General features: G+C 39.6%; 1 protein-coding gene across 57 annotated transcripts in view, besides 1 other annotated feature; it reads right to left on the bottom strand.

Moving 5' to 3' along the window:
- The window catches only part of SPIDR (scaffold protein involved in DNA repair), a 475,429-nt gene that overhangs the window by 192,570 nt on the left and 260,287 nt on the right, over window positions 1-22,572 (bottom strand). Inside the window, exon 1 of one of the 57 annotated variants that reach the window (XM_047421652.1) lies at window positions 1,597-1,618. The exons of the other annotated variants lie outside the window; for them this stretch is intronic. The gene's annotated coding sequence lies outside the window, so the exon portion shown is untranslated. Of the gene's footprint in view, window positions 1-1,596; window positions 1,619-22,572 lie in introns of those variants that run through there. 57 annotated transcript variants of the gene reach the window in all.
- Window positions 18,677-19,650: an enhancer, noted in NCBI's record as "H3K27ac-H3K4me1 hESC enhancer chr8:48436649-48437622 (GRCh37/hg19 assembly coordinates)". NCBI's record gives its function as "activates a minimal SCP1, AML or CMV promoter by ChIP-STARR-seq in primed H9 embryonic stem cells {active_cell/tissue: H9 hESC(primed)}" and the evidence as "EXISTENCE:reporter gene assay evidence [ECO:0000049][PMID:30033119]".

Genomic DNA, 22,572 nt, shown 5'->3' with positions numbered 1-22,572 from the left:
TTCACCTTTTGATGCCAGAGGGCCAAAAATTCCACCCCTGGATCATGCTAATGCCATCATTTTTTTAACATGTGACCTATGAAGAGGCATGAAGCTCAGTTGTGCTTTTTTCATAAATCTTCATGACTCCTTCTATAGCTAAATTTGAATATGTATACTTAGCCAACCCATTGGGCATAAATACCTGTGTTAGGCTTTCCTCTCTTAAATTGCTTGTTCTCAGCTTTTGCCAAAGGCTGCATTTCCCAGCCAGCAGTGTGCCACCCTTTATGAGAAATAAAGCTCTCCTTTCCAAATTTTTGAACCTCATGATTCTTCAGTTGACAAGCATTAGGGAAATGCACATTAAAACCACAATGAGATATCACTATCTATCTATCAGAATAAAAATTTAAAAATAGTGACAACATCAAATGCTGGTATGGAGAAACTGGATCACTCACACATTACTCGTGGCAATGTAAAATGAAATAGCCACTCTAAAAACCAGTTTGGCAGTTTCTTAAACAACTAAACATGCAACAACAATAGGACTCAGCAATTGCACTCTTGGGTATTTATCCCAGAAAAGTGAAAACTTACCTTCACACAAAAACCTGTAGACAAATGTTCATACCAGCACTATTCATAAAAGTTGGACGTCCTTCCATGGGTGAATAGTTAAACAAACTGATATACCCCCATGCCAGGGACGTCCACTCTGCAGTAAAAAGTAACTACTTATACATGCAACAACTGGGATGAATCTCCAGAAAATTATCCCAAGTGAAAAAAGCCAATTTCAAAAGGTTACAAACTATATGATTCCATTTCCATAGCATTATTGAAATGCAAAATAATAAGAACATAAAGTAGACTAGCAATTGCTAGGGGTTCTGGAGGGTGACAGGGTGGAAGAAAATAGTATGCCTATGAAGAGTGGCAGGAAGGATCCTTTGGTGTTGAAACTATTATATCTTGACTACATTCATAACAAGATCTGGTTTTTACATTGTATGACAGTTCTGCAAGATATTACCCTTAGTGGAAACTGGGTAAAGGATACATAGGATCTTTCTGTATTACTTTTCACAACTGCATGCGAATCTACAATTACCTCAAAATAAAAAGTTTAATTAAAAATCTCTGCACTTGGATGCCTCTCATCAGCTCCAGGTGTATACATTAACTGAAAGATTTTCAAGCAGGGGAAGTGCTTTGATTTACTTTTTTTAAAAAAAATCCTTAGCTACTGTGTGGAATCTGAATTAGAAACCAGTGGGACAGGTATTCCAAGGGAGCGGTAAGTCTTCTTTAACGTCAGCTTTCCCCCTTCAGAAATCTCTGCTCTGATCCCTTATCACTCTCCAGTCACTCACGCAACTCTGGGCATTCACAGGGTCTCCTCGGATTTGCCTCTGGTTACATTCACCACAACCCTCATCCAGGTACCCATAAAGTAACAAATGGTTGGCAACCACCCACCCAGCCCAGAATTTTCTCTTTCACAATCTTAGTCATTAGAAAATGAAAGTTAATCTCTGGTGTACATGGGGATGTTAGACAAAGATTAAAAAAAAAAAAAAAGAAAATGACAGTTAAGACGACGTTGCTTACAGAAATCTTCTTCCTTAATTAACTTTGCTGTAGTTTCTTCTTGAGACTTTGTAGACCTTCATTTGATCAGGAGAGACAGCAAGTGCATGTGTTTAACTGATTTGACTGGGGTTTCCAGAATGTGCCTGGGGGACTTTCAGTAAAGATCAGATAGAAGTATGTGTATGCATGTGGATTAGGTAAGTATAGTATAAACATATTTATTTTTCTGAGATGGAGTCTCATTCTGTCGCCCAAGCTGGAGTGCAGTGGCGCAATCTCGGCTCACTGCAGCCTCAGCCTCCCGGGTTCAAGCAATTCTCCCACCTCAGCCTCCCGAGTTCAAGCAATTCTCCCACCTCAGCCTCCCGAATAGCTGAGACTACAGGTGTGCACCACCAAACTCAGCTAATTTTTTTGTATTTTTAGTAGAGATGGGGTTTCACCAGGTTGGCTAGGCTGGTCTTGAACTCCTGACCTCAGGTGATCCACCTGCCTTGGCCTCCCAAAGTGTTGGGATTCCAGGTGTGAGTCACTGTGCCCAGCCCATATTTTCTTCTAATAATTGATAATTACTGTAAAAATAAGATAAAACTACTATATTTCTGAGCTTTTATGTGAAATGTGCAAGAATTGCCACAGGCCTAATTCTGAGTGTTGCTAGCATTAACATAAAGGAAAATCACCTACTAAATACAGTAAGTTTTAAAAGTTCTTCTATTCACTATATTTTAAACTGTTTCAAAAGTATTTCCCTTCCCATGGGAAGATATATACACTATTGTGGTGAAAAGCAAGTGTCTGAGTCAGAAAGACCCAGGCTGGAGCCCCAGCTCAGCATCTTACTGGTGGTATAGACATGAGCAAGTTTCCTCACCTGTAAAACAAAAATGGCTCCAATTTCTAACTGTTAGGATTATTGTGAAGATTGAATAAGATAATTCATGTAAATAATTCAGTACAAAGACAGGTTGGTAGTATGTTCTTTTAAGAGTGTTAATTGGTTGGGCGCAGTGGCTCGTGCCTGTAATCCCAGCATTTTGGGAGGCCGAGGAAGGCGGACCACTTGAGGTCAGGAGTTCAAGACCAGCCTGGTCAACATGGTAAAACCCCACCTCTATTAAAAATACAAAAATTAGCCAGGTGTGATGGTAGACACCTGTATTCCCAGCAACTTGGGAGGCTGAGGCAGGAAAATCGCATGAACCTGAGAAGTAGAGGTTGTAGTGAGCTGAGACCGCGCCACTGCACTCCAGCCTAGGCAACAGAGTGAGACGCTCAAAACAAGAGTGTTAATTAAAACCACTGTTTTTTCAATAAAGTAAAATCAGAAAAATTCCATTATCCATTAACTCACTTAATAGTTATTTCATGAATACCTACTATGTCCCAGTCACAAAGTTTCATAAAACAGGCCCTGACTTAAAGCTGACTACCTATCTAGGGGCAATGGGGGGAAAGACAAGAAGAAAACGAAGAAGAAAATGACCACAGAGGGTGGTAAGTAGTACTGGCAATACTGTAAATCATTCAGATTAGAAGCATGCCTTGGAAGATAGTCTTCTAAACTAAAGATGTAGTTAGAGAAAGTTCCTAAGAGGAGACAATGCCCAGCCTTGGTAGGCTGGCCACAGGGGCAGAAGAGGGCTAGGGACTGCCTAAAAGAGGGTCAAAATATTTTATTGTCATTTTGCAATTATATATTTTTTGAATGCTTTTCCTGGTAAAATAAGTTTTCAAAAAATATCATCCTGTAGTAACAGGGATACTTTTTAAATAAAATTCAAAAGTAAGTTAAAATAACCAATTTTACTTTCTTTTTCACTTATTTGAATATAAAAAGTTAGCAAATTCTTTTTGGATGACATCAATATTTATTTTCCCCTATGCTTCAGGCTGGCCTACACACTCTCCATCAAAGGAGAAACCGCGAGAACAATTTTATTGCTTCTGTTTCATTGGAAGTTTTGGTCCTAAATTAGCCTTATAACCTTCTTATGATATTATTCAAAAAAGTGTTTAGGATTCAAACCTTGTCTCAGCAGAGTCCCTCAAACTGTGAACTACACAAGTTCCAAGGGTTTATTTACCTCCTATCAAGCATAATGTGGGGGAATAATACAGTCAACTTGGAGCAATAAATTCAGCAAAACTGTGCTTCCCTTTTCCTCTTATTTGCTGTCTCTCAGGGCCACAGAATATTTTTACTTCTTTCTTTAAAAGTTGGGTTAGGATAAGAAGGAAGCCAGTCCAATCCATAATCCATGCACTAGAAAGGCCAGGCCAGCTTCCCACCATGGAGAGAGAGGAACCCAGCTGCTAGCAGACAGTCCTAACAAGGCTGCAGGTCTCACAACAAGCACTCAAACCAACACCTGATAGCATCCCTTGGGAAAAGGGTTTTTTTTTTTTTTAAGAAGAAAAGTGAAGGACCTTAAGATTGTCAGGTATGCACCAAACCCCACTTCCCAGGACTGAATACTGTCCCCTCTTGGACACGAGTCTTGATTTATAAAGCATTTACATGAGTGGATTAGAAAAACACCAGAATAACAGTCAAGTGGCCAAAGGACATGGCCAGAAAAACCACCAAAAAGGACATATGAAATGCTTGAAAAAGTGTTCAATCTCTTTAATTTAAAAAATGCAAATTAAAATGAGATGTCATTTATCTTCTAAAGTGAAATAAAATAACAATTAATAACATTGAAAAGTCTCAGCACTGCCTTGAGCCCCAGGTAGGATGGGCCCTGTGTGGTCCTTGTCTGGCTAAGGGAGGTGGCCTCGCTCTGGGCACTGCATACCCACCGTCTCTTCTGTGCCTTTTAATGATGTAAGAAAGGACTTACATATGATGGTGTGCTGATAAGGAAAAAATTACCAGTATATAAAATCTTAATACATTTTTAAAAAGGTTAATCTCCGCTAGTGCAGTAACGGGTAGTTTCTAGTCTCTTTATCTATCACATCTCTCAGCATTTTTTTCAAATATCCCACAATAGGCCGGGCATGGTGGCTCATGCCTGTAATCCCAGCACTTTGGGAGGCTGAAGCGGGTGGATCACCTGAGGTCAGGAGTTCGAGACCAGCCTGGCCAACCTGGTGAAACCACGTCTCTACTAAAAAAACAAAAATTAGCTGGGCGTGGTGGCAGGTGCCTGTAATCCCAGCTACTTGGGAGGCTGGGGCAGGAGAATCACTTGAACCTGGGAAGCGGAGGTTGCAGTGAGCCGAGATCGTGCCACTGAACTCCAGCCTGGGTGACAGAGTGAGACTCTGTCTCAAAAAAAAAAAAAAAAAAAAAGAAAAGAAAAAAGGCAAAACCAAAACAAATATCCCACAATAATCATTTCTTGCCCTTATTATTGGAAACAAATAAATCTATTCATAAAGAGAAAAATATGATTCAATTTATATAAATTTCCTTTTGAAGGCTTTGGTTTACTCTCTATTTTATAAAGCAAGACAGAGAGCTATATCAAATTTATAGAGGCAAAACCTGAAAACTCAAATATTAAATATAATTACTTGGACCAGAATAAAGCTGCTCAAAACCGAGAAAGAAAAACAGCAGTGTCTGACAATGAACATTAATTTACTTACTTTGTTCTTTTTTTTGAGGCAGAGTCTCACTCTGTTGTCTAGGTTGGGGTGCAGTGGCATGATCTCGTCTCATTGCAACCTCCACCTCCCAGGTTCAAGCAATTCTCTCGCCTCAGCCTCCCTAGTAGCTGGGACTACAGGCACCTACCACCACACCCTAGCTAATTTTTGTATTTTAGTAGAGACGGGGTTTCACCATGTTGGCCAGGCCGGTCTCGAACTCCTGACCTCAGGTGATCTATTGCCTTGGCCTTCCAAAGTGCTGGGATTACAGGCGTGAACCACCACGCCCAGCCTTAATTTATTTTCATAGTATTTTCTCCTTCCAAAGTTAATCTTCTCAGCAACCTCTGGGAACTCCTATTTTTTCTTTATTTTTATTTTGAGACGGAGTCTAGCTCTATTGCCCAGGCTGGAATACAGTGGCACGATCCCGGCTCACTGCAACTTCTGCCTCCCAGGTTCAAGCAATTCTCCTGTCTCAGCCTCCTGAGTAGCTGAGATTATATGCGCGAGTCACCACGCCTGACTAATTTTTGTATTTTTAGTAGAGATGGGGTTTCACCGTTTTCCAGGCTGGTCTCGAACTCCTGACCTCAAATGATCCGCCCGCCTCAGCCTCCCAAACTGTTGGGATTACAGGTGTGAGCCACCATGTCTGGCCCTGTTTTTTCATTCTTTAAAAAATTAATATACTAATTTTTAGAGTAGCTTTAGGTTTATGAAGAAATGAAGCAGAAATACTGAGAGTTCCCATATACCCTCTCACCTATCTCAGTTTCCCTATTAACATCTTGCATTAATGTGATACATTTATTACAGCTGGTGAGCCAATATTGACACCTTATTGAGTAAAGTTCATAGTTTACATTGGGTTCACTCTTCGTGTTGTACAGGTCTATGGGTTTTGGCAAATGCATAATGACACGTGTCCACCATTACAGTATCATACAGAAGTTTCACTGCTCTAAACATACCCTGTCCACCACCTATTCATCTCTCCCTCCCTCTAAACCCCATGGATCTTTTTACTATTTCCATAGTTTTGCCTTTTCCAGAATGTCAGTTAGAATTATACAGCATGCAGCCTTTTTAGATTGGTTTCTTTCACTTAGCAATATGCATTTAAGGTTCCTCTATGTTTTTTCATGGCTTGACAGCTCATTTCATTTTGTCACTGAGTAATATTCTATTGTGTGGATGAATATGCACCAGTATGTTTATCCATTCACCTACTGGAGACATCTCGGTTACTTCCAAGTTTTTGGTAATTATGAATAAAGCTGCTATAAGCATTTATGCTCATGTTTGTATAGGCATGCTTTCAACAATTATTTGGATAAATATCAAAAAGTGCAATTGCTGGATCATATGGTAAGAATATGTGTATTTTTGTAACAAAGTGCTGAAGTGCCTTCCAAAGTGGCTGTTCCAATTTGCACTTCCATCAGCAATGAATGATAGTTCTGTTCTTCCATATCCTTCCCTACATTTGGTGTTGTGTGTTTTGACTGTTAGCCATTCTAATAGATGTCTAGTGGTATCTCATTGCTGTTTCAATTTGCAATTCCTGATGACACATGATGTCAAGCATCTTTTAATGTGATTATCTGCCATCTGTACATCTCCTTAATGAGTTGTCTGTTCAGAGCTTTTATTAATTTTTTAATTGGGTTGTCTGTTTTCTTACTGAGTTTTAAAAGTTCTTAGTATATTCTGAGTACAAGTTCTTTACAAGATATGTCCATGGCTTGTCTTCATTGTCTTAACAGTGTCTTTCACAGAGCAGAATTTAAAAATTTTAACAAAGTTCATCTTGTAAACTTTTTCTCTCACAGATAGTGCCTTTGGTCACTGCCAAACTTAAAGTCATCTAGATTCTCTTCTATCTTATATTCTAGTTTTATAGTTTCACATTTTACATTTAGGTCTATGATCTATTTTGAGTTACTTTTTGGTGTAAGATCTGTGTCTAGATTCATTCTTTTTTATGTAGATGTTCAGGTGTTCCAGCACAATTTCTTGAAAAGATTATTTTTCCATTAAATATCCTTTGCTTCTTTGTCAAAGATCAGTTGACTATATTTATGTCAATTTCTTGTTCTATATTTTGTTCCATTGACCTATTTGGCTATTCTTTTTCCTGTATCACTGCCTTGATTACTTACCATAATTCTTGAAGTTGGATAATGTCACTTCTCTTTGTTCTCTTTCAGTATTGAGTCGGCTATTGTAGGTATTTTGCATTTCAACAGAAACTTTAGAATCAGTTTGTTGATAACCATGAAATAACTTATAGGCATTTTGATTGGAATTACACTGAATCTACAAATCAAGTTGGGAAGAACTGACATCTTAATAACATTGAGTCTTCTTATCTATGAACGTGGAATACCTGTTTAGCTCTTCTTTGATTTCTTCATCAGAATTTTGTACATTTCTTCATGTAGATCTTATATATATATATATTTTTAGATTATACCTGTTTGATTTTTTTGATGCAAATGTAAATGGCATTGTTTTTATTCTCTAATTGTTCATTGCTAGTATATAAGTAACTGACTATTACATATTAACATATTCTGCAGCCTTGCTATAATCACATCCTAGGTTCAGGAATTTTTTGGTGATTCTCTGGAATTTCTACATACACAATCACGTTATCTGCAAATAAGGACAACTTTATTTCATCCCTCACAATCTGTGAGTGGTGAAAAGGGCATCCTTCCTTGTCTTGCTCCTGCTCTCAGTGGGAAAACATCTAGTTTCTCACCATTAAGTATGATGTCAGCTGCAGGTTTCTTTGCAGAGGTTCTTTAACAAGTTGAGGATGTGTCTTCTATTGCTAGTTTGCTGACTATTTTTTTTTAACATCAAAAAATGGGTGTTGGATTTTGTCGAATCCTTTTCTTCCATCTATTCATAAGATTTGATTTTTCTTCTTTAGCCTGTTGGTGTGATGGATTACATTAATTGTTTTTTGAATGGTAAACTTGGTCAGGGTAGATAATTCTTTTTATATGTGTTAGATTTGATTTGTCAACATGTTGTTAACTATTTATGTATCTACATTCATGAGAGGCACTGATCCTTAAGTTTCCCTTTCTTATAATGTCTTTGCCTGATTTTTAATACTGGTCTCATAGAATTAGTTATTTGTTATCTGCAAATAAGGACAGCTTTATTTCATCCCTCACAATCTGTGAGTGGTGAAAAGGGCATCCTTCCTTGTCTTGCTCCTGCACTTAGTGCTTAAGTGTTTCCTTAAGTTTCTATTTTCTGGGAAAGATTATAGAGTACTCCTTCTGCTTCTATTTTCTGGATGAGATTGCAGAAAATAGGTATAATTTCTGCCCTAAATGTTTGGTAGAATTTACCAGTGAACCCAGCAGTGCTTTCTGCTTGGAAAGGTTATTACTGATTTTCTTTAATAAATGCAGGTCTATTCAGATTATCTGTTTCTCCTTGTGCGAGTTTTGGTAGAGTGTGTCTTTCACGTAATTGGTCTATTTCAACTAGGTTAATGAATTTGTGGGCAGAGAGTTTTCCAAAATATTACTTTATTATCCTTTTAGTATCTATGGGATCAGTAGTAATGGTCACTCTTTCACTGTGGATATTAGTAATTTCTGTCTTTTTTCCTTTTTTCTTAATCTGGCTCCACATTTATCAATTTTATTAATCGTTCAAAGAACCAGCTTTTTTTTTCTGTTGATTTTCTCTAATTTCCTGTTTTCGATTTCATTAATTTCTGCCTAATTTTTCTTTTTAACCTTTATTTTAGGTTTGAGAGTACATGTGAAGGTTTGTTACATAGGTAAACATGGGTCATGGGGGTTTTTTGTATGTATTATTTCACCACTCAGGTATTAGGCCCAGTACCCAACAGTTATCTTTTCTGCTATTCTCCCTCCTCCCACCCTCCCTCTTCAAGTTGACCTCAGTGTCTGCTGTCTCCTTCTTTGTGTTCTTAAGTTCTTATCATTTAGCTCCCACTTTTAAGTGAGAACATGTGGTATTTGGCTTTCTGTTCCTGTGTTACTTTGCTAAGCATAATAGGCTCCAGCTCCAACCATGTTCCTGCAAAAGACATGATCTTGTTCATTTTTATGGCTGCATAGTATTCCATGGTGTATATGTACATTTTCTTTGTCCAGTCTACTGTTGATGGGCATTTAGGTTGATTCCATGTCTTTGCTATTGTGAACAGTGCTGCAATAAACATTCACATGGATGTGTCTTTATGGTATAATGATTTATATTCCTCTAGGCATATACCAAGTGTATTAGTCTGTTCTTATGTTGCTAAGAACAAACACCCAGGACTCGGAAATTTATGAAGAGAAGAGGTTTAATCGACTCACAGTTCTGCATGGCTGGGATGGCCTCGGGAAACTTACAATCATGGTGCAAGGCACCTCTTCACAGGGCAGCAGGAGAGAGAATGAGTGCCAGCAGGGGAAATACCAGTCACTCACAAAACCATCAGATCTCATGAGAACTCACTCACTATCACTAGAACAGCACAGGAAAAATGGTCCCCATGATTCAATTACCTCCACCTGGTCCCGCCCTTGACACGTGGGGATTATTACAATTCAAGGTGAGATTTGGGTGGGGACACAGAGCCAAACCTTATCACCCAGTAATGGGATCACTGGGTTGAATGGCAGTTCTGCTTTTAGCCCCTTGAGGAATCACCATACTGCTTTCCACAATGGCTGAACTAATTTACACTCCCACCAACAGTGTATTAGGGTTCCCTTTTCTCTGCAGCCTCGCCAGCAACTGTTATTTTTTGACGTTTTAATAATAGCTATTCTGACTGGTGTGAGATGGTATGTAATTGTGGTTTTGATTTGCATTTCTCTAATGATCAGTGATGTTGAGGTTTTTTTTCCCCCATATGCTTGTTGGCCACATGTATGTCTTCTTTTGAGAAGTGTCCATTCATGTCCTTTACTCACTTTTTAATGGGTTTTCTCTTGTAAATTTGTTTAAGTTCCTTATAGATGCTGGATATTAGACCTTTGTCAGATGCATAGTTTGCAAATATTTTCTCCCACTCCGTAGGCTGTTTACTCCTTCTAGTTTCTTTTGCTGTGCAGAAGCTCTTTAGTTTAGTTAGATCCCACTTGTCAATTTTTGCTTTTGTTGTGACTGCTTTTGGTGTCTTTGTCATGAAATCTTTGCCCATTCCTATGTCGAGGATGGTACTGCCTAAGTTGTCTTCCAGGGTTTTTATAGTTTGGGATTTTACATTTAATTCTTTAATCCACTTTGAGTTGAGAATTTTTATTATCTTATTTATTAATTATTGGTAAAAATTATTTTGTTCCTTCTATTTATGATTTAATTCACTCTTCTTTTTCTGGTTTCCTAAAGTGGAAGTTTAGATTTACTGATTTAAATATTTTTTCTTTTCTATTGTGTACATTCAATGCTATAAATTTTCTTTACACTGCTTTCACTGAAACTTACAAATTTGGTTATGTTGTATTTTCATTTTCACTTTGTTAAAATATTTTAAATTTCTCTTGGGATTTCTTGATGTGTGTTAGAAGTGTACTGTTTAACTTCCAAGTATTTTGTTACTGAGTTCCAATTTAATTCCATTATGGTCTGAAACATACTCTGTATGATCCTATCATTTAAATTTGCTAAGATGTGTTTTATGGTCCAGAATTTGGTCTGCCTTGGTGAATGTTTTGCATGAGCTTGAGAAGAATGTATATTCTGCTGCTGTTGAATGAAGTATTCTATAAATGTAAATTAGATTCTGTTGATTGTGTTGTTCAGTTCAACAATGCCTTTATTGAGTTCTGCCTGATGGATCTGTCAATTACTTATAAAAGAGTGTTGAAGTCTCCAGCTGTAATAGTGGTTTTGTCTGTTTTACTTTGCAGTTCTATCAGTTTTTTGCCTTATGTGTTTTAAATCTGTTGTCACATAAATACACATTAAGGGCTGTTACGCCATCTTGGAGAACTGATCCTTTTTCATTATGTAATACTCCCTCTTTATCTTTGATAATTTTTCTTGCTCTAAAATTGGCTTTGTTTGAAATTAATATAGGTACTCCAGCTTTCTGTTGATCAATGTTAGCATCCCTATCTGTGTTTTTATATTTAAAATGAGGTTCTTATAGGCAACTTGTAGTTGAGTTTTATTTTTGTTTAAATCCACTCTGGGCCAGGCGTGGTGGCTCATGCCTATAATCCCAGCACTTTGGGAGGCCAAGGCAGGTGGATCACCTGAGGTCGGGAGTTCGAGACCAGCCTGATCAACATGGAGAAACCCCATCTCTACTAAAAATATAAAATTAGCCAGGCATGGTGGTGCATGCCTGTAATCCCAGCAAGGTGGGAGGCTGAGGCAGGAGAATTGCTTGAACCTGGGAGGGGAGGTTGCAGTGAGCCGAGATCGCGCCATTGCATTCCAGCCTGGGAAACAAAATAACCAAACACTGTCTCAAAAAAAAAAAAAAAAAAAATCCACTCTGACAATCTTTGTCTTTTAATTAGAGTTCAGATCACTGATCTTTAAAGCAATTATTGATACAGCAGGACTGATATCTACTATTTGTTACTGTCTTCTATTATTTGCCCTTGTCTTTCTGTTATTGTATTCTACTCTTTTTCTGCCTATAGTTTTAATTGGCCATTTTATATGATTCTATTTTTTTCTTCTCTTAATGTAATAATTTTTGTCGTATGCCACATAATGGTGGTTCAGTAAATGGCAGACTGCATATATGACAGTGGTCCCGTAAGTTTATCATGGAGCTGAAAGATTCTTACTGCCTAGTAATGTTGTCCTGAGAAATTGACTAATAAGACTTTCTTGGAACTGGAACAGAAATGCATACCGGAAGAAGAGGTAAGAGAAAAGGAAACTGCAGGAGAAGAAACAGAAGTAGAATCCCCAAGAAAATTCTCACTGAAGGGTTTAGCAGAAGCTTTTACAGACCTCAACAGGCTCCTTAAAAAGTCTTCTGAAAACACAAACCCCAGTACCAAAAGGTTTTCATTAATGTTGAGGAATGTTCACGGTGTATTCTCTGCTTATAAGCAAATCTATGATGATAAAGCAACAAACCAAGTGATCTACCATGGATATATTTCTAAAAGGAATGACATCTCCTCAAGAAGAGCCTCAGGCAGGTCCTTCAGGATATTTTCCAGAAGGCATTGTTGTCATGGGAAATGACAGCTCCATTCACATTACTGCCCATGAAGGCCAGCCAGTGGGACAAGTTGTAGAGGTAGAAGACAGTGTGACATTGATGATCCTGACCCCATGTAGGCCTAGGCTAATGTTTGTGTATCTCCATTTTTAGCAAAAAAACTTTACAAGTTTTTAAAAAAGGTTGGGTACAGTGACTCACGCCTGTAATACCTTTGGGAGGCCAAGGTGGGAAGAACACTTGTGGCTAGGAGTTTGGGACCAACCTGCGCAACATAGCGAGAAACATTTTTAAAAAATAGCTGGGCATGGTGGCATGCCTGGAGTCCTAACTACTTGGAATGCTTAAGTGGGAGGGTCGCTTGTGCCCAGGAGTTTGAGGCTGCAGTAAGCCATGACTGCGCCACTGCACTCCAGTCTGGGGGATGCACAACCTTGCCTTTAAAAAAAAAAAGTTATAAAAAATTTTAATAGAAAAAAATTTTAGAATAGGGATATAAAAAATATTTTTGAAATAATTTTGTACAACTGTACAATGTGTTATAAGCCAAGTGTTACTACAAAAGGATAAAAAATTAAGAAAAATTGTTTATGAAGTAAAAAAGTTACAGTAAACTAAGGTTAATTTATTATTAAAGAAAGAAATGCTTTTTTATAAATTTAGTGTAGCCTAGGTGTTCAGTGTTTATATAAAGTCTACAGTAGTGCATAGTAATGTTCTATACCTTCACATTCACTCACCACTCACTCACTGATGGCCCCTGACCCCAGAACAACTTCCAGTCCTGCAAGCTCCATTACAGACAGGTAAGTGCCCTATAGAGGGGCACCATTTTTAACCTTTATACCATAGTTTTACTGTACGTTTTCTATGTTTAGATATTTTTTTTTTCTGACACCATGGTTCTAAAGGTGTTTTGTTTTGTATTTGACACAGAGTCTCGCAGTGTCACCCAGGCTGGAGTGCACAGGCCCGATCTCAGCTCACTGCAACCTCCACCTCCCAGGTTCAAGTGATTCTTGTGCCTCAGCCTCCCGAGTAGCTGGGATTACAGGCGAGTGTCACCACACCCAGCTGGGGTTTCACCATTTTGGCCAGGCTGGTCTGGAACTCCTGGCCTCAAGTTATCTGCCTACTTCAGCCTCCCAAAGTGCTGGGATTACAGACATGAGCCACTGCATTTAGATATGTTTAGACACACAAATATTTATCATTTTGTTACAATGTTCCATGGTGTTCAGTATAGTTACATGCTATACAAGTGTGTAGCCTAGGAGCAGTAGGCTATACCATACAGCCTAGATGTGTAGTAGGCTATATCACCTAGGCTTGTATAAGTGCCCTTATGATGTCTGCATAATGATGAAATCACCTAATAATGCATTTCTCAGAACATATCCCCATCATTAAGTGATATATGATTGTACTTCCTTTTTTACTTTTTTATGTGGTTCCTCTTGAGTTTGATGTGCATTTAAAAGTAATTCAAGTCCACTTTTAAATAACACTATGCAACTCCATGGGTGGCACAAGTACTTTACAATAACAAAATATTTCTAATTCCTCCTTGTATCTCTTATAATATTGCTGTCATTCATTTCATTTATACATGAACTATGACCACTGAATACATTTTAGCTATTATTTTAAAGAAACTTATGTGTTAGATCAATTGAGGTTTTATTTTACCTACATTTTTTCCTTCACTTATAATCCTCCTTTCTTTATGTATATCTCAATTTCTGATCTATATTATTTTCCTTCCTTTTGAATAATTTCTTTTAACATTTCTTGCAAGGTAGCCTTAGTAGTGACAAATTGTCTCAGTTTTTGTCTGGGCTAGTGTTTTATTTTTTTGTCACCATTGAAGGATATTTTTGCTAGATATAGGATTCTAACTTGGTGAATTTTTTACTTCAATACTTTATTTTTATTTTTTATTTTATTTATTTATTTTTTGAGATGGAGTCTCGCTCTGTTGCCCAGGCGTGCAGTGATGTGATCTCGGCTCACTGCAACCTCCACCTCCTGGGCTCAAACGATTCTCCTGCTTCAGCCTCCCAAGTAGCTGGGATTACAGGTGCGTGTCACCATGCCCGGTTAATTTTTTGTATTTTTAGTAGAGATGGGGTATCACCATCACCAGGATGGTCTCGATCTCCTGACCTCATGGTCCTCCTGCCTCAGCCTCCCAAAGTGTTAGGATTACAGGCCCGAGCCACCGGGCCCGGCCTCCTTTAATACTTTAAATATTGTGCTACATCTTTTTGTTTGCAAGATTTCTGAAGGGAAGTCTGATGTAATTCTTATTCTTCTTCCGCTATAGGTGGTATGTTTCTGCCAGCTTCCCCTCTGGTGTTTTTTCTTTGTCTGTAATTTTCTGCAGGTTAAGTATGATATGCTTAAGCGTAGATTTTGTTTTATTTATCCTGTTGGTGTTTAAGCTTCCTGCATCTGTGGTTTGGAACCTATCATTAATTTGGAAAAATTCTTTTTTTGACTTCCTGTCTTTCCTCTCCTCTGGTATTCCCATTACACATATGCCATACCCTTTGCAAATGTCCCAGAGTTCTTGAATATTATGTTCCCTTTTTTTTTTCACTCTTTTTTCTTTTTGTATTTTAGTTTTGGGAGTCTTGGTTGACATTTCTTCAAGCTCACTAATTCTTTCAGTGGCCATGTCCAGTCTACTGATGAGCCCATCGAAGGCATTCTTCACTTCTGTTATGGTGCCTTCGGTTTCTAGGATTTCCTTTTGATCTTTCCTAAGGTTTCCATTTCTCTCCTTCACCCACCTGTTCTTGCCTGTTGTCCAATCTTCCCTTTAGAGCCCCTAACATATTAATCTTAGGAATTAAAAAAAATCCTAGTCTGATTAATTCTAACACCTCTGCAAAACCAGAGTCTGGTTCTAATGCTTGCTCTGTTTCTTCAAACTGTGACTTATTTGTCTTTTAGAACGCCTAGTAATTTTTTGTTGTTGAAAGCCAGACAATGATATATTGTGTGAGACAGACTGCAGTATAAAGATCTTTAGTATAAGGTTTTAAAACTTCACTTTTCAATATTTTTTATCTTTCCCATTTTACATGAGATATGTATTTAAACAAGCAGATGCTGGACTTCTAGGGGAAAGTATCAAGGATTCCTTTCTCACTTCTTTTTTGCAAAGACAGATTGGCCCCATGTGAACAGCTATATAGAAAAAAGTGATGAAACTGTCCTTGGTTTTACAACGATTTATTTTAAAAAATTACAATTATCCAGTGGAACAACATATGTGAGGTTTGTTATTATCATGTTGTTGCTGTTGTTGAAACAGGGAGAGTCCTGGAACAGAAAGATCAGAGCTGGATGAGCAAGCCACTAACGGAGAGAGTCTTTCCACAGAACCAGTATTTTCCCCATCCACTTCTCCATGAGATGTCAATCAAGACACACCATCTCCAAGTAGATAGCTTTTAAAAAAAGATATACCACTGGTAAAAGTAATTTAGGAAAGCAAGAAAACAATGACAGCAATATGCTTGTGTGCCTTCACCATTTCACGTCCATTAAAAGAATAGTAGCTCTCTGTCCAAAGATGGAAATAGAAAAATAAAATAAAACAGTAGCCCACAGGCAACATCTGGTGAACCCAACCAAGACTGGTGCCAGTGGGGGCCATCTGGCGAACCATACTGATCCCAAGCTGGTCGCCAAGGCCAACACCTACAGAGGCTACATCTGGTTGACCTGGCGACTTTAATGATGGGCCGTCTTTATTGTTTGCTAGAGTGTTTTCCGAAGCTAAAATTTTCTCTGGTGTCCATGTTTTTGTCTCCCCTGTTATCTTTGAGTTTCTCTACAGCCTTCTTAAATAAGGTCTGAGATGCTCAGTTCTTTCCATTTTATTCCTCTGTTACTACACAGGAGCCTTGCTGATGTGGTGGTATGGTGTCAGGGTATGGGAGGTGTTCTATAGTCCTATGATGAGGTCTAGGTCTTTAGTAAGCCTGTGCCTCTGGGCTGAGATCTTGACAGGTGCTTCTAAGCTTTTTTCTCCCCAGAGAAACAGGAAGGCTGGAGGAAATCTGGAGTTGGTGTTGGCGTTTTTCCTTCCCCCCAAGTTAACTGGGCTCCAATAAAACTCCAATTGGTCAGACTCTGGTAAAACAGTTTCTCTTGAGGGCTGAATGCTCCGGTATACTGTTAAATGGCTACCTTTCCCTTCCCCCGATACAAGCACAATGGGTTGTTCCCTGATCTTCACAGTGAGAACCTAGCAGGGTTCCTAGACATAGAACATAAAACATAAAACAAAAGTGTGCCCCCTCTCTCCAAGACAGGACCCCCTGGAGTGTAACTTGCAAGCTTGTCCACACCGAGCCTCTGGCAATGTGTGAATTAATTGAAGTTTTCTTAGGCTGCTTCTGAGTTCTGCTGGATACGTCCCCTTCAGGTCTTTTGCTCTGGGAAGCTGTGATTCTCTGTTTATTTGCCTGTCATTTGCTCCAATTTGGGGGGCAGCTGTTTGTTCTGTGACAATTCTCTGATGAAGCTAAAAACCATTGATTTTTAGTTTGTTCAACTTTTTCTTATTGTGAAGACAGGAATGACAACTTCCACCTGCCTTATATGCCAGACTAGAAACCAGAAGTCAGAACTCCTGCTTTGGACTGCTTCATTTTGACCTATTTAAACACTGTCTTGTTACAGTTCCTGGATGTTCAGTTGCCACATCCCTGCAGCACCCTGCAGTTAGCTCTGGGAATCTCCTGAACGGTTTCATTTCTGTACATTTGGTTCCTCTAAACACCAGGCAGCTGAATGCACCATCTCCATAAAACAGCCAAGAAGAAGCAGGGTTCATTTTTTTTCTTTTTGCTCGTGGTCTGCCACTATGTGACAGTTACATGGTTTTTAAGGCTTCTTAGCCAATGAAGACTAGATTTTGCTCCCTGTGACCAAAATCCATGCCTTAAATTTTCTGATTTCTCTCTTAGCACCTAGCAAAGTAACAGTAAGGTAGCAGGACTCTGCTCTTTGTTAATAGTAAACTCAAAATTTATTGATGTTTAATCTGGCTCTAATCCAATGGACCAGACCAGAATTAAATAACCAAGAACAGTGAGAAATGCACATGTTGTGATGTCAGCAAGGCCACTTGCTGACCCCAGGCATCATTGCAATGTTCCTTATTTCAGTACTGGATGCACTGCCTCAGTGTGAGGAAGCTGAGCCTGGGAACAGCCCCACAACAGAACATCTTTCCTTTCTGTCCCTTCCGCAAATTCAGAGGCTCTAAGTTTAACTCAGGGGAATACAAGATTCGTAAGGACACATAGGCTGGTGCCACTATATGCTTCTGGATTCCTTCTGATCCACACTATGCTAAGTTTTGCCAGGTATCTTAAGGGGTGGCTGGAACTACACTGAGCAGATTGCATCACATTTTCTACAACTGCAGGGAAAAGGGGTAAGCCCCCCACACTTCCCACAAATCCAGACAGCATGTACACAACCTGGTGTTCTCTCAGGACAACTCAGTAGGCACAGCCAGGTCCAACTAGCCAGCAGTGCTACCACCGTGCCTTGTGATTTTTTTTTTTTTTTTTTTGAGGCAGGGTCTCACTCTGTCTACCCAGGGTGGAGTGCAGTGGCTTCTGGGCTCAAGCGATTCTCCTGCCTGAGCTGCCTGAGTAGTTGAGACTAAAGGCGTATGCCACCACGTCTGGCTAATTTTTGTATTTTTGGTAGAGATGGGGTTTCACCATGTTGGCCAGGCTGGTCTCGAACTCCTGACCTCAGGTGATCCGCCCACCCTGGCCTCCCAAAATGCTGGGATTACAGGCGTGAGCCACCGCGCCCAGCTGTGACCTCTTTTTATAAGTTCTTTCTTCATACAGAAAACTTTGGAAAGAGGGAGAACATAAAATTTTCTAAGTTTTCACCTATGTTGGTTAAAGAAAAAGAAAGTAGGTTATTCAGTTAGTAATGCCAAAGCTAGAACCATAGAAAGAAAGATACTTTTTTTCCTTTTGTTTTCCAGGCTCCTATTCTGGTAAATGGACTATCAGGATTCTCCACAGAATCTTGTGACGACAAGGCAGCAAGCAGCTGCCCTTTGGCACAACATGTAAATGAACTCAGTCACCCCCTGGGTTTTTCCCTCTTCTTTCCCTGCTCTTTAGGAGGACACAGAATCATAGGGAGTAACTAGCTGAAGTTTGCTCTGTACTTTAACAGCAGGCAGGAAGCCAAACTGCAAATACAATGACCAGATTCAGTTTTCAAGCAAACACTGGAACTGAATTCACCCTAGTCCGGGAAGAATGCCTCGGATCAGAACTAGCAGGAAATCCAATTCAAAACAGGGTGTGTCATCCCTAATTCATAGTGTGGCCTTTACACCTTTCATGAAGTCCTTTGGAAATAAAAGCTTCCTTCTGTAAAAGATCTCCCCTAAAAACTACATTTTACTAAATTGTATCAGAAATCTCTTGCAGGAGATATCTTAATTCCCAAGACCAGCACCCTTGGTACAAAGTGTTAGCTCCACTCTTTCTCCTTTGAATACTGAGTATTAAACTTTTAGAATTTATTAATAATTACTTAGTTCTCCCAATTCCCTTCCAACCTCTGAGTGTTCTCTGACATCATGCAGTAGCAACTCCTTTCTTGTTCTCTGGGTCACTTGAATAACTTAATATGAAAATGCTTTGAGACCTTCAGAGAATCAGGACAGTCGCATACTTTGGCCCAGGCACCCGCAAGACGTGCCAGGAGGTTTACGTGCCTGTCTCTCTGCCTCTAGCTGGCTGGGGTTGTCCCACGGCTCTGAGGAGGGACACACGCAAATGCTGAGAGCCTGCAGTTCCTCGGGGGTGGTCAGGAGAGTACAGGACCTGCTGCCCATGGCTGACCTACCAAAATAGTGCTGCGACTATAGGATCCCAGAGGGGCTGCAGTTAGGCATGTGAAACAGTGAGCCACATGCCAAATACACACATTTTAATCTGGATGTACATGGGAGGAGAGTATATGAGAAATGACGAAGCACAGGCTTCCTAAACTGGTTTAGGAGAAGAGGAGGAGGAGATTTCTCATCCACACAATGACAGTACTTTTTATGTTAATTCTTAGTTTGCATAATCTAGTTTCAGGTGGAGAGTCGCCTGATTTACCTAATAAAATACAGGATGCCCAGGTAAATGTAAATTTCAGATAAACAATGAATAATTTTTTTAGCATACATGTGCCTGATAGTTTATCTAAAGTTTACATTTACCTGGCACCCTTTATTTCATTTGGTAACCTAACTCAGATGTCAATTCTAATTAATTCATCTCTAAAATAACTTTTGGTGGTATTTTAGAAGCTACCACACCAGGTATCCTTCCGACACTTCAGGACACTTAATCTGTCATTGTGTTTTTTCATAGGTGTGTGGACAAAACTGCCATCTCCTCACCTCATACGGGAAAACAGAGAGGCCTGCAGTTCTGTGGGAAGACTTCAAAACAGCTCTCAAAAAGTAAAATTGTATCACCAGAGAAACTGGGTTATGTAATGGTGCATACCACACTTCTGTTTTCCTGAGGAAGTTAGCACTTCTTATTGAGAAGGCTGCGGCCTGATCATGCTGTTATTACCACTAAAAAACAAAAATCTGTGAGGCCCCCAGAGGCTGCCCAGCACTATGTAACAGGGAAAAGAGAGGCAGGCCTGGGTGCAGGGTGGTCGCATCCATGATCCAGCCTGACCCCCATCACCAGCCGGCAGGGAGACAGACTCACACTGAAGATAAAGCAGAGCTGCTGTACTGGCTGGACTTGAGGTGGTTTAAGTTGGCAGCTACATCGAAGGACTTCTGAAAAGCTCAAGTGACAGTTACACCTTTGCACTCTCCACATTCAGCTGGCCTTTTCCCTCAAAACATGGATAATCTTCAAACCTCCCTGAACAGGTGGAAATGCGTCTTTCCTCTAAGCCAAGTTCTCAGTCCACATTAGTCCATACTTGGCTACAGAATTGACGTTTGTGGCCACAATCCTACTAGAAATGACCTTTGGGTAATATCCTTATCTTGTTGATCTAGTTAGGGTCAAGTAAAACGAAATAGGTTTTCAATCAAATACTAAGAAGCTCACAAAATGGAATTTAGGTGAAAACACACCAAAGTAGTATTAAAGTTCAAATTCCAAAAGAAATACTTGCATTAAAAAAGAAAAGCCATGCATGGTGGCTCGCTATGCCTGTAGTCCCAACAATTCGAGGTGGGAGGATTGCCTGAGCCTGGGAGGTCGAGGCTGCAGTGAGCTGAGATTGTGACACTGTACTCCAGCCTGGGGGACAGGGTGAGACCCTCGCTCAAAAAATAAAATAAAATAAAATAAATAAATAAAAAATAGAAAGAAAGAAAGCAAACCACACACACACATACAACAAAAAAAGATCACTTTAAATCTTTAAACTATTCCTTTCAAAACAATGTGACAGAAACATCATCAGGTTACTAGAGATTTCACAAATAATGCATAATAAAGAGCTTTCTCAGAAACAGAGTACTACCACCTAATGAAAAAATAAAACCTATCCAAAACCAAGAATCTTCAGTAAATAAAATGCTTTTAGCATTAAAAACTAATAAGATAGCTTTAAAAACCATGTTTTTAAAAATTGCAACAAATACTTCTTACTTTTAACTGTCTTTTTTAACAGAGCAAAGCAATGGAATATTGTGCATCCCACACAGTGACATTGTGTGATTTTGGGTAGGAACACATTTGAACCCTAACCAACCTTGGCAGGAGGAGAGGGTGAGGGAGTCATTTGACCTGGGGTCATGCTGGTAACCGGGACATAGAGACTTCCTCTTTCCCTCTGAGCTCACAGGCCCTTCCCATTTCCACACTGGCTCGGATCCTTCAGCAGCCTTTCCTGCTGCTGACAACCAAATGGAGAAAATAAATGAATTTTAAAACAGTTATTTTCTTCACAGATTTAGGGAAAGACACCATGGGAGGGAAAACACATGTGGGTAAATACAAAATACAGTTACATATTTATTGTGGATGCTGCAGAAACCCCAGAGTCAAAGCACATGCTCCATTGGGAAGAGTGGCGCACAGGAGGAGAGGCTGACCCCTTCAGTATCACAGTTCTTTTTCTCCTGCTCATTCATGTTTCTTTTTTTCTTTTCTTTTTTTTTTTTTTTTGAGACAGACTCTCGCTCTTGTCGCCCAAGCTGCCAGGCTGGAGTACAGTGGCACGATCTCGGCTCACTGCAATCTCTGTCTCTCAGGTTCAAGCGATTCTCCTGCCTCAGCCTTCCCAGTAGCTGGGATTACAGGCACCTGCCACCATGCATGGCTAATTTTTGTATTTTTAGTAGACACGGGGTTTCACCATGTTGGCCAGGCTGGTCTCGAACTCCTGACCTCAAGTGATCCACCCGCCTCCGCCTCCCCAAGTGCTGGGATTATAGGCATAAGCCATCGTGCCTGGCCTCATTCATATATTTCTAAGAACTAGGAACATATTTCATTAACACAAAACACTCCCCAATCTTGTTGATTAGATTTCAAAACTAACTGGAAGAATTCCAAATGCAAAATGGATCTCTCTTCTAAGCTGTCTTGAGTAGAGGAAAATAAAAAAATAAAGAGTGGCCAGGCGCGGTGGCTCACGCCTGTAATCCCAGCACTTTGGGAGGCTGAGGTGGGCGGATCACGAGGTCAGGAGTTCAAGACCAGCCTGGCCAACATGGTGAAACCCCATCTCTACTAAAAACACAAAAATTAGCTGGGCATGGTGGTGCGTGCCTGTAATCCCAGCTACTCCGGAGGCTAAGGCAGGAGAATTGCTTGAATGGGGACCCAGGAGGCGGAGGTTACAGTGAGCCGAGATTGTGCTGACAGAGTGAGACTCGGTCTCAAAAAAAAAAAAAAGAAAAAAAAATCACAACAAAACGACTGGGTATTGTTTCTGGTATCTTCCATGTAGGTTCTGTAATTTCTTCATTTATAGCCACACACGTCCCATAATACCCAAGACAGAAATTTCTGGTATTAATTATTTGCTCTTAAGGAGAAAGCAGTAAGGAAAGGAAGAAATGTGAAACACAGTTATTACTAGTTGATTAGCCAAAGCATGTCCAATTAAATCTCTGGTAAAACTGAATGAGGTTGACCTCAACTTTGCCTTGGAACAGCTCCCTAGAAACA

This window comes from Homo sapiens, chromosome 8, assembly GCF_000001405.40.
Source record: "Homo sapiens chromosome 8, GRCh38.p14 Primary Assembly".
Lineage (NCBI taxonomy): Eukaryota > Metazoa > Chordata > Mammalia > Primates > Hominidae > Homo > Homo sapiens.
This window is presented reverse-complemented; position numbering and strand designations above follow the sequence as displayed.